Source organism: Homo sapiens, chromosome 8 (assembly GCF_000001405.40).
Source record: "Homo sapiens chromosome 8, GRCh38.p14 Primary Assembly".
Lineage (NCBI taxonomy): Eukaryota > Metazoa > Chordata > Mammalia > Primates > Hominidae > Homo > Homo sapiens.
The window spans coordinates 118,489,618-118,507,634 of record NC_000008.11 but is presented as its reverse complement, the minus strand read 5'-3'; the positions used below and the strand labels follow the sequence as shown (position 1 = coordinate 118,507,634).

Below are 18,017 nucleotides of genomic sequence, written 5' to 3'. Positions count from 1 at the left end.
TAGGTCTCTATACTACAGCTAATATACAATTAACTTTAATTATTATTGATATCATAGTTCAGCATTTGAATCCCAATTAAGTCTGAGATCTTGAACAAATTACCTAGCCTTTCTGAGCCTCAGGGGTTTTTTCCATGTACAAAATAAGAATAATAGGGAGTGAGATGAGGTCATACCATGCTTGGTATCAGGCTCGGTACATCATAAACCCTCAATTGGGCTTTGTGGTAGATATTGTCGTGTTAAACTTACAAGGAGTTTCTAATCTAGTAATTAATATGGGACATATATACAGGTGATTATAATTTAATACATGGTAAAGTTCAGAGGAGGGAGAGATCACTCTAACGCAGAGGAGGCTGTGTCATTTCACCTGAGCTTTGAATAAAATGAGTAATATTTAAACAAGTCGGGGAGACTTTCTAGGTGGAGGAAATTGTACAAGCAGAACTGGAAAGATGGGAAGGCACAAGGTATCAATGAGGTGCTCAGTGTGACTGCGTTGTAGAATTCATGGAATGCAGTGACATAAGCCAAGACCGGGAAAAATGAAGTTGGTTGTAGCTAGACTGATTATGTAAGACACAGAATGTCTTATGTTCCAAAGTTTGGTCTCTAAGCCATGGAAAATAGATTTTCACTCTACTAATTTGGAAGGGTGCATAACCTGTTTATTTATGACCACCATACCCTCCCATGAGTGACAGTACTACTGCCAGACAGCTTCATGATGGCAGACAGTATGTGCCAGTGATCCAGTGGTTGAAGGTTCCTGATCAGCTGTGGACTTCTCCATCACCCAGCCAGTCACACTTTCCACCACACCAATGTAATCATCTAGTATGAGAAGCCATTATGTTTGAGGCTAAGTTAAAAGCTAACATGTTCTAAATTGGCTGTGGCTGATTATTTTGTAAATAGTGTCAGCCTAGAAAACTAACAGTGGAATGTGACTCTAGTGCCTGTCAGCCAACGCTGGTCATGGTATCAAATACACATGACTCTTCATGCCTCAAGTCATTTACTAGGTACTTTTTTTAATCCATTTATGGTTTGATAAACTCAGACTAAAAGGTTGTGTAACTTTTTCTAGTTCTCATAAACACTGTTGACATAGTAGGAAGATCAATCTATCCCAGTTTCCCTTCTCCCCGTGGAAAATTGGGAATTAGCACCAATACTTGCAAGACAGAGACTGTCAGAAGGGAATGGGCTCCTTCAAAATGGCTCATAGTTTTACCCAAATTAGAATTCATGAGATGTTTTACTTACTAGGGACCAGAGCCAGGTAGGAGTTCTAAGCTCTTAAGTACTCAAGCATAGGAAAGTGATTAAGTTATTAGGTTTCATAAATAAGATATCAAAAACTAAAGATAACAATGCAAAACCATTGGTTAGCAGGTAGATATAACCAAAAGTAGATAAGGAGTTAGGAGTTTAGGAAAAACAGGCTGCTGACCTTCAAAGCTGGAGCCTGGTCTCTTTCATGTCAGTGCCTCCTGATCCATACTGCTAGTGTATAGGGACCAGTGTTCTGTTAGCAATTAACCGAGACAATGAATGTGACTGCAGGTATGGGTACTAAGTTCTGTTAGAGACTAGAGCAATAAGCAAGAGAGCTAACTTTTACTAAAAGGTTCATTGTAGGGATGATAATCAGACTGGGATGATAATGGATGATATTATGTCCAGGGCACCAAGGAATATCCAAATTCTGTTCTGGGGCCTGAGGAAGATATTTTAGCAACTAGAAAATGGGAGGCATAGTAATGCATCACTTTTGGTTGTGGCTTCCCCACAAATCCTGATGTGGAGAGTTCTAGTAATTAAGTGAATTCACAAAAAGCATTCTGCTTTTCTAAGCTGGTGGACATATTAGAATTACATCGGGTATAGTTACAGAAAACCCAATTAAACAGTGGCTTAAACGTCTTACGAGATATGAAGCCCAGAGTATGTAATGCGTGACTGACTCACAAATGTACAGTATCTTCAGTGTCACAGGCTCCTTCTGTCTTTCTCCTCTGCCTTCCTTAGCATGTGGCTTTTACATTCCCATGGTTTCAGTTCGACTCATCATATTTGCATGTCAAGTCAGAAGAGAGGGGTGAGACCCAAGAGCCAAAGGTGACTTTCAGAAGAGTCTGCCTGCTTTCCAAACGGTTTTCATAGAAGCCAACCTAACAACTTCACTTCAGTCTCTCAGACCAGAACTTAATCATATGGCTAGTTGCAAAGGAGCCTGGGATGTGTAGTTTCCATGATACTGCCCTGAAAAAAAAAAAAAAAAAGAGCTCTGCCCATAAGAAAGGAGACAATAGATACTAAAGAAGCCAGCAGCACCAATTCCCAATGTGAGTTAAGTCTGAATAACAGCAGAACAAAGTCAGCCCTGAGACTTACTGAGCCTGTGCTCTTGCTTACGAAAACCCAATCTCAGATTCCATCGTGATGCCATCTTATTCCAACTAGTGCCAGATACAGAAGAAGTTGGAACCAGAAACAGAAAGAGGAAGCACATGTATGCCTTTGTATAAGTTTTCTGTGCCTACCTTATCAAGTTATCACAAATTGGGTAGCTTAAAGCAACAGAAATGAATTACCTCACAGTTCTGGAGGCCAGAAGTCCAAAGTCAATGTCTGGCCAGATCATCCTAAAACTTTTAGAAATAGCAAGTCAAAGCCACATCCCCCAGTCACACCAGCTGTAAGAGAATGATTAACAGCCAGGCCTGCTGTGCTTGTGGCTGGACCTTCTAGGGCTATGCTGTCTCTGGAGGCTCTAGGGGAGAATCTGTCCCTTGCCTCTTCTAGTTCCAGCAGCTGTTGGCCTTCCTTGGCTTATGGCCATGTGTCTCTGCTCTGTCTTCACTTTGTCTTCTCTTCTATATGTTTGTGTTTTCTCTTCCTTAGTCTGTCTCAAACCTCTCTATGTCTTTCTCCCATAGAGACACTTGTCATTGGATTTGGGGCCCACCAGGACAATCCGGGATGGTCTCATCATCTGAAGGTCTTTGACTTCATTGTATCAGCAAAGACACTTTTTCTAAGTAAAGGCACACTTGCAGGCTACAGGGATTAAGACATGGGCATAACTTTTGGGGGCCACTTCTCAACCCACTACATCCTCTGCTAAGCATTGAGTTTTGCCAGGTCACCCCCAACCTTTTAGAAATAGCAAGTCAAAGACACATACCCCAGACTGTCTCACCATCTGTGAGAGAATGATTGACAGCTGGGTCTCCTTGACTTGTGGCAGGCCCTTATTGGCTTGTTTTGAGGATTAGATGGACCTTGCACTTTATGTATTTATTAAAGAGAATCTATCCATTATTACTGTGTTGTTTTTCTCCGGGCTTCTTTATGATGCCTGGTCTAGGAGAGGAAGTCACAGAGAGGAGTTGGATGTGTTGCTGTGGGCTGAAGAAAGTAGTGCAAAAGTGGTTTGTAGGTGTTGGCCTTTTCTTCCCACTCAACTGTGGTTTCAGGATATAGGTGATAGTGAATATGAATTTCATAATATGCTGACAGGAAAAGAGGGAAGAGTAAGGGAATAGGGGATTCCTGATTTAAACAAAGCAGGAAATAGGAATAGGGCAAGGAAGTCATGTGACACAGGCTATTACTAGGGGGCGGTTAATCTACAAAACTATTACAAAATTTAGCCTTTGAGATACCCCAAAAAGAGGTTAAATAAGCAGGTTTGAGGTATGACCCCTACTCAATATGGCTGATTTGTAAAATGAGTGTTGTTGTGCCCCTCAGACTCTACAAAATCACCTCTGCAACCGTTTTGTGATGGGATTAATTTTTCTTTTAGTTCTGCTTTGAGTGTTTATTTTAACTGGATTTCGCCTGGGCAGAAAAAGAGGTGGTGGTTCTAACAGAGGATTGACAGAGAAAATGCGAGATGGAGGAAGAGCCCAAGGAGGGAGATGGAGGCAGAGTTGTAATCCCTTCTCCTGACTCCAGGTGGCGCTTGGTTTCTCACCAAGGTTTAGCCTCAAAACACTTTCTCAATTTCCTTAGAAAGGATGAAAGGCAGCGTAATCCTGAAACAAGTGGCCACCTATCTGTGGATTCTTTATGCTTTCAGGATGCATTTCAGCCTCATTTGAAGTTTTCTAGAGGGTCAGAAGGGCTTGGCGGGATGAACCTTAGAAGTGCTCTTACCCGTGAAAAGGGATCCCTGAGCACTGTTCAACTCTTCGTGAATGTTTGTTAAGTGAATGGATGACTCTAATGCCTTTCCATTAAAGGACCTGCCCTATTAAAGACCGATTCCCAGCCCCAGAAATAATCACTTAAGTTTCTTAATTTCTCTTCATAATGCACTACTGGTAGGAGAGCTCATTTTCTAGTATTACACCAAACTGCAGTGCATGATACATTTCCTTTCACTTGCAAGAAAGCCCTACAGACGGCATTAATGGATTTATTTTAAATTGCTGTTTGTGAACTCCAAATAATTATATAAAATTGTTTTTTAATGTTCGCATAATTTTTTCATCATTAAAAGCCACCAAGCTCTTTAATACTGAAGCAGAATCAACCATTGAACATAAAAAATGGTTACCTTGATGTGTCTAATATCTCTGCCTCACACACACAGACATTCTTTGCTCTGCATGGTTATTTATAGTGCTTGTCACATTAGTGGCTTTTTCTGGCAAATGTATTGTTTTGGCGTGAACTTCCATAAGGGGGGAGAAATCCTTATCCTGAAATTTCCTGGAAGCTAAGCCTAGGTACTTGGCCTGCCATAGAGAATTGGGCAAAGGTACTATTCTCATTTTATCGTTTGAGAGAACCTTGCTACACTTAGCCATTCCTCCCATTTTCAAAATCGTTCTCTGCATAGGCCATAATTCAGTGCTGCAAAAGCCTGCAAAATCTACTTATTAGGATCAAGGTGTGGTTTCAAGATGTTTTCTTCAAAATTATAGCGGTGGCTGAGGAGTTCAACAGATGTTTGCTTTGAATTTAATTTTACATTTTTATTCATTGAAAAATGTAATGAAAATGTGCTCTTCAATATATTCCAGGTTTGTATCCACTGGAGACTATTAGTGCTTTAACTTGCCCTGACTTTTACACAGTTATTAGAAAAAAGATTTTCCTGTCATTTCTATTTCATTAACACCTAACCTAAGATTGTAAGACAGGCTGGCAAATAATTGTAAATGATTTTTTTTTGTCTATGTGAATTAGGACATTCATCAGGGAAACAACATGCAGAAATAAACTAGTAATGCTAATAATATGCATTTGTCTAACATAACCCATGATTTCAAATTTCGTATTCATCAAAACAGTCTCACTGATCTTATGAATTGATTGGTTTTAATAATAAAAAGATGTTACAAGTTCAAATTTCTATTTATATATTGAACCTAAAAGATTGCTTCTCTCTGTTATAATAGAGTCCCTGGAAGATATAGTTTTAAAATAGTCTCCTAATAAATACACTAACAAACAGTTAAAAATGTAATCTTACTACAGAAAGTGAGGTCTGTACACCAGCAGTTTGGAAGCTTGTTAGAAATATACAAGCTTGGCCCCCACCCTAGCCCTGCTGAATCAGAATCTGCATCTTTTTTTTTTTTTTTTTTTTTGAGACGGAGTCTCGCTCTGTTGCCCAGGCTTGAGTGCAGTGGCGCAATCTCCGCTCACTGCAAGCTCCGCCCCCCAACGGGTTCGTGCCATTCTCCTGCCTCAGCCTCCCGAGTAGCTGGGACTACAGGCGCCTGCCACCACGCCCGGCTAATATTTTTGTATTTTTAGTAGAGACAGGGTTTCACCGTGTTAGCCAGGATGGTCTCGATCTCCTGACCTCGTCATCCGCCTGCCTTGGCTTCCCAAAGTGCTGGGATTACAGGCATGAGCCACCGCGCCCGGCCCAGAATCTGCATTTTAACAGGATCTCAGGTAATCTGTATGCATATTAAAGTTTGAGAAGCACTGCTCGGCAGTAAACAATAGAAGTCTCTGCTAATATACTTGCAGTCTACGGGACTAACCCATCATCATATGTGGTCACATATGGTGAAGGTGCTTTCCAAATGCCACTCAGAGGGCTGATGTCCAAGCTGGAGAGATTGCCAGGCCACATCCACAAAATGATGTAACAGGTCTCTTGGAGATGAGACATTTTAAAAATTTTTTTAATTATTTATTTTTTAGTTGACAAAATTTGTATATATATGTGGTATACAGTATGATGTTTTGAAATATATACACATTGTGGAATGGCTAAATCAAGCTAATTAACATATGTATTACATCACAGACTTATTTCCTGTGGTAAGAACAAATAAAATCTATCCGAGTTTATATATATTTTAGAAGGCTTCCCAGGCAATTGTTATGAACATCTAGTTTTGTGGAAAGCAAGACATTGAGAGAATAAAACAAGACATTGGGATATAAAACTGACAGTTTCTAAAGCTTGGATGAAGAGAGAATAGGTAAAGGGAAGGTTCACACTGAATAGAACAGCTCATGCTAGATTGGCTTGCAAACACCCAGTCCTAGTCAGGGGCCATATGAAGACAAGAGAAAATGGAAATGACAGAAAAAAGTGACTAGAGAGGCATTCCCCCCATTCCACATCTACCGGGTGGCTGTTCCACACAGACCACCATGCCAGGCATTGCTGGACAACGAGGTGAGTACCCAGATCCTCTGTCCTCTTACACCCTGTAATGTACTAGAGGAGACCAGAATGTCAACAACTCTAATCCAAGCAAGAACTAAATACATATAAATATAAGGTAAAATAATTGTATTCTGATCATAGATGAAGGAACAATTGATTATTTATTTATTTAAGACAGAGTTTCCCTCTGTCGCCCAGGCTGGAGTGCAGTGGTGCAATCTCAGCTCACTGCAATCTCTGCCTCCTGGGTTCAAGCGATTCTTCTACCTCAGCTTCCTGAGAAGCTGGGACTACAGGCACCTGCCACCACGCCCAGCTAATTTTTGTATTTTTAGTAGAGACGGTGTTTCAATATGGTAACCGGGCTGGCCTTGAACTCCTGACCTCAGGTAATCTGCCTGTCTCAGCCTTCCAAAGTGCTGGGATTACAGGCGTGAGCCACTGCGCCTGGCAGGAACAACTGATTTTGATTAAAAGAATCAAGAATGGCTTCACAGAAAGGAACCCATGTCTCTATGTCCTAGGCATGGTTCTAATCACATTTGAGAACAACTGATGTGGAAAGAAAAGATGGAAGAGGAGATTCAAGAACAAGTGCATGCCGGGCGCAGTGGCTCACGCCTATAATCCCAGCACTTTGGGAGGCCAAGGCGGGTGGATTACCTTAGGTCAGGAGTTTGAGGCAAGCCTGACCAACATGGAGAAACCCCGTCTCTACTAAAAATACAAAATGAGCTGGGTGTAGTGGCGCATGCCTGTAATCCCAGCTACTCGGGAGGCTGAGGCAGGAGAATCACTTGAACCCGGGAGGCAGAGGTTGCAGTGAGCCAAGATCGCGCCATTGCCCTCCAGCCTGGGCAACAAGAGTGAAACTCTGCTGTCTCAAAAAAAAAAAAAAAAAAAAAAAAAGGCAAAACTCAGGGGCGTGTATCCTGGGGAGCAGATCAACATCTTCATGTATGTGGGGGGACCGTACAGATCACTGTCTACTCTGATGTGGGAAGAGAAGAGGCATGTGGTTAAAGATGGCATAAAAGGGCACTTTGTTGTGCCGGCATAGAGGACCATGAAGCCATATTAAGGACAGTCTTCTGTAGATGTTGGCTACCCCTGACAACTCTGTTGATTCTCTTGAGGACTAAGAAGTTGGGGAAGTGAGCATCTTTAATTTTTTTCATTACTCAAGGGAAGAGATCCTTGAAGCTCTTGGCCTTCAACTTGGTAATCTTGGAGTCTATGGCCAAGATTTATAAATTATTTGTGCTTTATCCACACTGACTTTTTAGCAGCCTCCAGTTTTCCACATTTTTTCTCTAGCCCTGGCTGACTGTGTTCTCCTTGAACACATAGACATATGAAACTATTCTGAAAGCCTACATATGTTCTAGAAATGTAAAACAGTATTGAATAATATCTGCTTCACTGAAGCTGCAGATCCACTCTCTGAGATAGGCAGGAGAGGTATTATTACCATGTAACTTTGGCTTGAGGAGGTTACATGACGTTGTGGACATGTGGCTAATAAGTCTTGGAGCTGGAAATAGGTCAGGTTAATTGTCCTTGCCACAATTTTTTCACTTCCTCTTATTCTTTACAGTAAGTCACTGTTGTAATCATTAGCTCTAGGTAACAATATTTGCTCCTTCTCTCCCTCTGTGCCTGTAGAAGACTGAACTTTCTGTTCAGTCTGGTTGGGTGGTTCTGGCAAATGAGATATGATGTGTGTCACACTCAGGCTGGAGCAGTCAATTACCAATTTGAGACCAAGTACCCCCTTTCTCTATTTGTGTTCATTATGGAAGCCCATGTTAGGATGAGCCTCTGGCAGTCTAAGTCCTCAAGTGACTATGATAAATTGAGCCTCTATACTGGACATGTAGTGTCAGCAGGAAGTAAACTTGTGTTAAGTCGTACAGATGTGGGGGTTGTTCATTACTGCAGCAGAACCTAGCCTATTCTGACAGATAATAGCCTCCATCAAATTTCCATCTAGATAAGCCAGCATGTATTCACTGGAGAGTGCAGGGGGTGTAAAGTGAACTTGGTGGGGAGATAAAGCATATATGGAAAATACTTCATAGCACAAGACACTATACTGTCTGAGGAAAGGTTCTGTGTTTTGACTGTCCTCTAGGTCTATCTACCATTTCTATGATATATGTCACACCTAATAGGTGCCATGTAGGTATTTGTTGGGTGAATGAGTAAACATATACTTTTATTTTAATGTGAACTCTGTGTATTCTTTCCATCAAGATATATCTTGGCAATATCATTTTTTGTAATCATTTCTATTAATTTTCATATTTTCTGTGCTATACACCATAAGCCATGAAAATTCTAGGTGTGAACACTGACCTTTTCCAGGAATTTAGTTTGGGTAAAGTATATCTGCATTATTATTAAACAGCTAGCGTCATAGATTTTAGAGGAAGAAGAAAGGGGTGCAGTCGTGACATTATTAGAAATTCAGAGCAGTGATTTCGCATTCTGATTTGGTGATATGCCTGGAGCTATCCACATACCTCTAGCAGTGTTGCGAGGTAGTAAATGCTACAGGCATAACATGCCAACAAGCAGATCTTAAATAAAATATATTCGTGTATATTAACTTTCTTATTTTATATTTCATTGCAAACACAATCTCATTCTTCTCTATATTTTTTATACCATAATAATGGACCTGTCTTCAAGGGAACAGCATCTCGTTGTATAAACAGGACCCTTAAGCTGAGACTGTTCCTGTGACTTGGCGGTCATTGAAAAGATTAAATGGGTTGCAAAACACCGTCTTTAAAAGTGAAGGTAAATTTGTCTCAGCTGGAATCAGAAGCCAGCTGGGCCTAAGAATGATGTCTATGTCTACATAGCATATCCTGATATAACACATGCCTTGCCTTGTTTCAGTTCGTTAATTATCTGCTTCCTGTTCTTCTGTTTAATTAGTCCTGTGTTGTTTCATTCTTTCCACTTCCTGACTTTCTTCCTTTCTTTCATATTCTCCATCTGTTTCTGCCTTTGAAAATTTCATTTTGGTTTTTAAGTTTAATTGATGTCTCCTCTGACATCTCAGATTTCATTAGCATTTCTTACTAGATTTGTTACATTCAGTTTAGCCATTTTTACATGTCTGAAAACTTCTAAATCCCTGATCAAGTGTATTCATCCTCAAAATGGCATCTTTTTTAAAAAAAGTAAATAAATGTTCTCAAATGCTGTTCTTTTTTTTTTTTCTTTCCCCCCACCCCCCCCCGCAACTTAAGTTATTTTAGATTCCAGGGGTACATGTGCAGGTATGTTACATTGGTAAATTTTGTGTCGCTGGGGTTTGGTGTACAAATGACTTTGTTACCCAGGTAGTGAGCATAGTGCCCTATAGGTAACCTCCCCCTCCTCCCACACTCCCCTGTCAAGTCGGCCCTGGTGTCTATTATTCCAATCTTTGTATCCATGTGTACTCAACGTTTAGCTCCCACTTATAAGTGAGAACATGAGGCATTTGGTTTTCTATTCCTGCATTAATTCGCTTAGGTTAATGACCTGAAGCTGCATTCATGTTACTGCAAAGAACATTATTTCATTTTTTATGGCTGCATAGTATTCTATGATGTGTATGTACCACATTTTCTTTATCCAGTCCACCGTTGATTGGCATCTAGGTTGATTCCTTGTCTTTGCTATTGTGAATAGTGCTGTGATGCACATATAGGTGCATGTGTATTTTTGGTAGAATGATTTATATTCTTTTGGATACACACCCAACAATGGGATTGCTGGGTCCAATGGTAGTTCTGTTTATAAGTTCTTTCAGAAATCTCCAGATTGCTTTCTACAGTGGCTGAACTAATTTACATTCCCACCAGCAGTGTGTAAGTGTTCCCTTTTCTCTGCAATGTCGCCAACATCTGTTATTTTTTGACTTTTTAGTAATAGCCATTCTGACTAGTGTGAGTTGGTATCTCATTGTTTTGATTTACATTTCTTTAATGATTAGTGGTGTTGAACATTTTTTCATATGCTTGTTGGCTATGTATATCTTCTTTTGAGAAGTGTGTGTTCATGTCCTCTGCCCATTTTTTTAATGGGGTCATTTGGGTTTTTTTTTGGCTTGTAAATTTGCTTAAGTTCCTTATAAACTCTGGATATGACACTTCTGTCAGATGCGTAGTTTGCAGCATTTTCTCCCATTCTGTAGGTTTTCTGTTTGCTCTGTTGATTGTTTCTTCTGCTGTGCAGAAGATCTTTAATTAGGTCCCACTTGTCTGTTTTTGTTTTTGTTGCAATTGCTTTTGGAGACTTTGTCATGAAATCTTTGCCAAGGCCTATGTCCAGAATGGTGTTTTCTAGGTTTTCTTCTAGGGTTTTTATAGTTTGAGGTTTTATATTTATGCTTTTACTCTATCTTGAGTTGATTTTTGTATGTGGTGAAAGAAAGTGTTCCAGTTTCAATCTTTGGTATATGGCTATCCATTTACCCCAGCACCATTTATTGAATAGGGAGTCCTTTCTCCATTGCTTGTTATTGTTGACTTTGTCGAAGATTAGATGGTTGCAGGTATGCAGCTTTATTTCTGGGTTCGCTAACATGTTCCATTGGTCTCTGTGTCTGTTTTTATGCCAGTACCATGCTATTTTGATTTCTGTAGCCTTGTAGTATAGTTTGAAGTCAGGTAGTGTGATGCCTTCAGCTTTGTTCTTTTTGCTCAGGATTGCTTTATCTACTTAGGCCATTATGGGTTATTATTTTGTTCCATATGAAGTTTAGAATATTTTTTCTAATTCTGTGAAAAATGACATTGGTAGTTTGATAGGAATATCATTGAATCCATAAATTGCCTTGGGCAGTATGGCCATTTTAATATATAGATTATTCCTATCCATGAGCATGGAATGTTTTTCCATTTGTTTGTGTTGTCTCTGATTTCTTTCAGCAGTGTTTTGTCATTCTTATTATAGAGATCTTTGATCTTCCTGGTTAGCTATATTCCTAAGTATTTTATTGTTTTAATGACCGTTGTGAGTGGGATTGCGATCTTGATTTGGGTCTTAAATACTTGTGATTCTTACAAACAGAATTCTATACTCTTAAACCCCAAGTAGATGGCCTTGATATTATAAATTGTATTATTTCAAAACATAATTTCAAAAAGATTAATATTAGTAACACATTAGCCAACATTTAATGAGCACCTAAATGTGGCAGGCACTTTCCTAAATTCTCTCTATATATTATCTCATTTAATCCTTACTAAAACCCTAAGGGGTAAGTGCTATTATTATCCACATTTTACAGTTGAGGAAACTGTGACTTTGGGAAGTATCAGTCAGTAACCGTGGAGTTCATCCAGGCAGCGGGATCAAGGTTCCCATTCTCTTAACCAAAAATTAGACAAATTAAAGAGATAAGGTAAAAAAAAAAAAAGCCTACATGAATTAAGTGAAGATTAATTATCTTCCTGTAGTATCAAAATGCATTAGTTAGCCAGTTTTCAACTAGTCATCACATACATATTTATTTATTAGCTGAAGTGATTATGTAAAAATCACACTCAGCTGAACTTGGAAGAAAAGAGATGTTTGACAGGGTCAATATATTTGGAACTGTTTTTTAGACTGGGAGAGAAAGTGAATGCCATGATGTCATACTTCCCCAAAGCTTTGGAATTTGGGCTTCTGAGACTCATGTGCTGTGGCTTGCTTAATGTCCAAGATTCAAGTCAGTCCTATTTTGACAGGGGCATATGTCCCATGACAATCTGATGACTTCAGTTGACACAATTGCTTCTCTTCCAGTTTCATACGTTACTGCCTAAGCTCACCCTACATTCTTTAACACCTTCCACTAGTGAAAATAGTGATGGCAACTAACCTTTCCTGAAAACTTACTGTATGTCACACACTTGTGTCATGCACTTTATGGGCACTTTTTCATGTGATTCTTGTAAGTACTCCATAATATACAGACTTTCATATCCCCAGCCTGTAGATAGGGAAGGTGAGCTTAGGGAAGTTTATGAAACTTGCTTATGATGACACAGGTGACAGATTCAGAACTGGGTAACCCCTGTTTTCACCAGACATTATTTGGGGTAGATGGAAGGCATTCATTCATCAGATTTTTATTATACTATGCTTTGTGTGGGACACTATGCTGAGCACTCAGAGGAAGAAAATGGTTTTTGTCCTCACAAATGTGTAGAATAGATAGACAAGTACACAAAGAATTAAAAGATAAGGAGATGAAGGGTGTTGGGGAAGCACAACAGAAGGACTGACTAACTCCTTGAGAAACTAGGAAGAATCAAGACATTTAATGATTAATCAGTAATAAGTAGTAATTAACCAGGTGAATAAGAGGAAGGTGTTTGGGACTGAGGGAGCGCTATGTACAGAGGCACGATGTCCTTCATTGATTAATTCAGCAAATATTTTTTAGTACATATTTCAGTGAAGACAGTAGGGAATGCCCTTATGGACTCTATATTCCAAACATATAACAGCATGTAATGTAATTTCATGAAATGCATGACACATTTAGCACATAACTACTGCTGGTGTTTGCAAAGTGAAGACAGGTGAAGCTGTTGTATATATTTTCCTGTTGCTGCTCTAACAAATTGCCACACACATAGTGGATAAAAACACAAATTTATATCCTGTAGTTATAGACATCAGAAGTCCAAAATGGTCTTATAGACTAAAATCAAGGAGTTGAGGAGGCTACATTCCTTCTAGAGGCTCTGGAGAAAAAATTGACTGCTTTGTCTCTTCCAGCTGCTGAAGGACACTTCTGTTATTTGGCTTGCGGCCCCTTCCACATCTTCAGAGCCAGCAACATGGCATCTTCAGATCTCTCCTGCTCTGATGCTCCTGTCTCCTTCTTATAAGGACCCTGGTGCTCATGTTACCAGGCAATCAGTGAGCTCACTGCCCAATACACATAGAGGCTAATACAATACCATGGCACCAGCTTTCGAGAAGAGAAAAGCTTTATTGTGAGTAGTTGGCAAGGAGACAGGAGAAAATACTCAAATCTTTCTCCTTGAGCTGAAGGCTAGGGTTGGTTTTATTATAGGCATAGGATAGTGAGGCATGATCTGACTGGTTCCTGCCATCGGGTGATGCCAGGGTTCAGTCTGATTAGATCCTGGATCCTGCCATGTGGTGTCCACCTCCTATTTCAGTCCTTCCTCCTTGGTCTGAGTGTTCCACCCAAGGTTGCACACCTGGTTCATCTGGGCATGTTCAGGTTATGTGACCTTCAACTTGTGGGTCTGTGGCAACTGAAAGCAATTCACAATTTTGTTATGTAAGAGATGAACCAGAATGATCTGGTCCAGCTACAATCACATTGGACATGCACAGATAATCCAGGATAATCATCCCTCCACCTTGATCACATTTGCAAAGTCCTTATTGCTCTGGAAGGCAACACATTCATAGATTTTAAGGGATAGAACATGGATATTTTTGAGAGACTGTTATTCTGCCTATCACAGCTATAAGGAGAGGTAGAGGCAGACGATGAGCTTCCTTTAATTTATGAGGACCTGGGCTTTATTTAACAGAATCATGAGAAATGAGCAGAAGCAAAAGTAGGCCAGTGAAAGGAAAGAATGTTTAGAGTTTTGTGCTGGTGAGAGCTGATGAGGTCTGAATAAGGCAGTATGCAGTAGGAGTAATAGACTTGGGAGAAATTTAGCACATATGGCACTTGGCAATTAACTGGATAAGTGGATGAAGAAGAGGGAGAATTCAAGGGTGACCCTGAAGTTTTTCATATGGTCAGCTGGGAAGAAAATGTTCTTTATTTTTGGCTTAAAATAATGTTTTCTGAACTGTTTTGGTGTCAGCATAAATATTCATGCAAGTACAACATTAATTGTATTGACTTCTAACAAATCACTGGTTTTAGGCCATCCAGCTGGTTATTCATGTCCTCTGTTTCATATTTTTCTTTTCTCTGTTGTAGGCTAATACTTGATATACTGGGTATGTAGCAGAGATGCCTTCTCCAGTAAATTGCATTTTGGTGTAGTATCTTTGATTGGAGATTTTAAGGTATGATAATGCTTGACACACATCACTTTTTCTGGCTTTTAATACATTAAGGGAAGTAATTTTTATAAGTACTTAAAACAGTAGAATATTAGCTTTCATATATGGTTTATATATCGTAATTTGAACATACTAGGCTCTGAAGAGCTTGCCAGAATAGGTTAATTCAGAATATTTTTCAAGTTCCCTCTTTATGTCCAGTATCATTTTACATGCTTTTGTTAGGTAAGAAAGAAATATGTTTCTCTTCTTAAATAACTGGGGGATATACTGGGCCCACTGTAATAATACAAGTGACATAGCTGAAGAGATATACAAAAAGTATTAGTCATCTATGAGTAGATGTGAAACAGCAGAGAGAGCATGGCAGCAAATGGAGATAGCATGAGCAAAGAAATGGCTTCTTCAAATGAATGAATCCCCCCATCCCTACCATATCGAGTAACTTTTATCCATTCTAAGTTAATTTAAATATTTATTAAGTTCTTATGTTAAACACTTTATTTGTACAGCCTAAGAAGAATATGTGCAATACATGTTTCTGTCAAATAACTTGTATTCAGCATATATAAATAAGTCATACAAATCAACTTTTTAAAAGTAGAAACAACCCAATTTTTTTTGATTGGCAAAGATTCGAATGGACACTTCTAAAACGAAAGTATTGAAATGGCCAATAGGCATATGAAAATGTGCTCAACATCATTAGTCCCCAGGAAAATGCAAATCAGAATCACAATGAAATACTACTTGATACAAACTAGTATGACTTAAAACTTAAAAAAAAAAAAAAAAAGGCAACACCAGTATCAGTGATGTGGAGCAACCAGAACTTCATACATTGCGAGTGAGAATGTAAAATGATACAACCACTTTGGAAAACTTGGCAATTCCTCAAACTTAAACACACAGTAAATCAAACTTTATAGATACTTGCCAAGTGACTCAGCGATTCTACCACTAAGTATTTTCAAGAGAAATAAAAACATCCACACAAAGACTTGTACGTGAATATTCACAGCCGCTTTCTTCATAATGCTCCCAAAATGTAAACAATTCATATCTATCAATAAGAGAATAGATCAACAAATTGTGGTGTATTTATACAACGGGCTTCTCTACAGCTTAAAGAGAAAAGATTAGTTATATATACAACAATATGATTGATTCTCATACACATTGTGTTGAGTGAAGGAAGCCAGACACATGCACATGTTTACTGCATGATTCCATTTATATGATATACAAAAACAAGCAAAGCCACTCTATAATGATAGAAAATAAAATAGAAGTTACTCTGAGGGGTAGGGATTGATTAGAAGAAATAAGGCAACTCCTCAGGGGGATGGAGATGTTTTATATTTGATTAGGGTATTGGTTACATAGGAGAAAACACTTAGGATCTATACGTTTTACTCTAGGTAAATTTTACCTAAAAATAAAAATACTGTGTTAGATAACCAAGAATGCAATGATGAATAAAATAGATGAAGTGCCTGTCTCCATGAATTCTTTAGTTGAATGGGTAAGAAAGTCATTAAATAAGAAATCACTTGTGACATGAGTCTTACGAAGCCACAGATGCATAAAGCGAGGAGAAACACCTAAAGGATGTTAGATCTCCTGAGAGAGGTGGCATTTAAGCAGATTCTTTCAAGTTGAGGAAGAATGACTTAGATGAAAGAGCAAAGATGGAAAAAGTTTCCTAAGGATTTGGAAAGTGAGAAAGAACTCAGTTTCTTCAAGGAGCTGAAGAAGTCCAGTATAACTGGAGCACAGGGAAGACTGGGAAGAATGACAGAGATGATGCATTGGACAGGTGGACAGGCACCAGTCTGGGTATAGTCATGTTCATTCCATTAAGGGCTTTATATTTTTCCCCGGGGCAATGGGAAGACAGTGCTTGGTTTTACTTTGTAGAATTATATAACTGGTGTAGCAGAGCTGCTTGCCAGCATTCCATCAGGGTTCTTTTTTTTTTTTCCCACTTCTTTAATTGTAATAAAATTTTTAGTTGGACATAGCAACCCAAAGAAAAGGCTTCATTTCCCAGCCTCACTTGCAGCTCTGTGTAACCGTGCAGATAAACTCTGGCCAAGAGGATGCAGATGAAAGTGTTCTTTGGCAATTTCTGGAGGCCTTCTCTAGGAGAAAACTGGTGTATGCCCATTTTCTTCTTTATTTCCTGCTTCTTCCTGCATCCAGAAACTTAGATGTGGCCTTGGGCCTTGAAGATGCTGGTCACACCTGAGATCAGATCCTTTGGACTTCATGGAAAGGAATTGACGTGGTATTCCTGAGATGTGAGAGGGAGAAAGAGAAGAGAAGAGAAAATTACCTTTGGATTTGTGGTGGTTGTTGTTGTTACTCTTAGCTGAACCTAATCCTAACTAACATGGTCAGATTTGCATTTTTAAAGACTATCCTGGCTTTATTATTATCCCTGAACACAAAAACTTTATTCACATTTCCATATTTTGCATTCTCTTTTCTTTGTCCTTAGGGATGAAGATGATAAAAATGAAGCAATCCTTCATCAACACGAATAACACTTGGTAGTTTTCACTTTCAATTCCTGCTAGTGGCTGGTTTGAAGTATAGGAAAATGATAGACATGACCCACTATTATAAACTAATTGCCAACAATATGGGAACCACATCTCAATAAATAGGTTCCCTCCCTTTTATCTTGTATTGAGAAAAATTGATTAGCATCTTAAATAGGAAAGTTACGTGACTCTCATATCTAAACAGCTGAAAAATGTTAACATATGATAATGATTTGCTACATCAACAATAGCAGACTCTTATTTTTTTGAATGCTATGATAGTAAGAACTTAACAAATTTTACTCAATAAAGACCTTTCCTATCTGCCTTTTTCTATAGACAGGGGCTGTGCAGAGAAGTGGTATGTAAAGAGGAACATTCCTCCCTCATATTAATCTGAATTTTCTAGGATGTTTCAGGAGAGCAGAGCTGCTTCCTTTCCTTTTTTATACCCCCCACTCCAGAGTCCACCAGGATCTCAATATCCTAGTAATAACAAATAATTTGTGTAGTTGTTTTGAACAATTAAATCATGCTACTTCATTTCGGTGTATTAAACAAAAGGAAAAGCCAACATAAGAAACACAATAAAACAGAAGCCATTATAACAACTGGGCTTAGAACAGAAGGACATTACGAGCTAAAAATGTTTTAAATTAGTTTTTAATGTGAAAATTGGAGGCATTATAAATCCATCACATGAACAGTATTGTAATTTCCAGTCGACATAAAAAACATCCTGATAGGAAGGA

The 18,017-nt window shown here is 38.9% G+C and overlaps 1 protein-coding gene across 12 annotated transcripts in view, besides 1 other annotated feature; it reads left to right on the top strand.

Moving 5' to 3' along the window:
* The window catches only part of SAMD12 (sterile alpha motif domain containing 12), a 490,139-nt gene that overhangs the window by 114,329 nt on the left and 357,793 nt on the right, over nt 1-18,017 (top strand). The window lies entirely within an intron of this gene.
* Nucleotides 2,003-2,092: a silencer, noted in NCBI's record as "silent region_19480". NCBI's record gives its function as "represses an Ori minimal core promoter by ATAC-STARR-seq in GM12878 lymphoblastoid cells {active_cell/tissue: GM12878}" and the evidence as "EXISTENCE:reporter gene assay evidence [ECO:0000049][PMID:35858748]".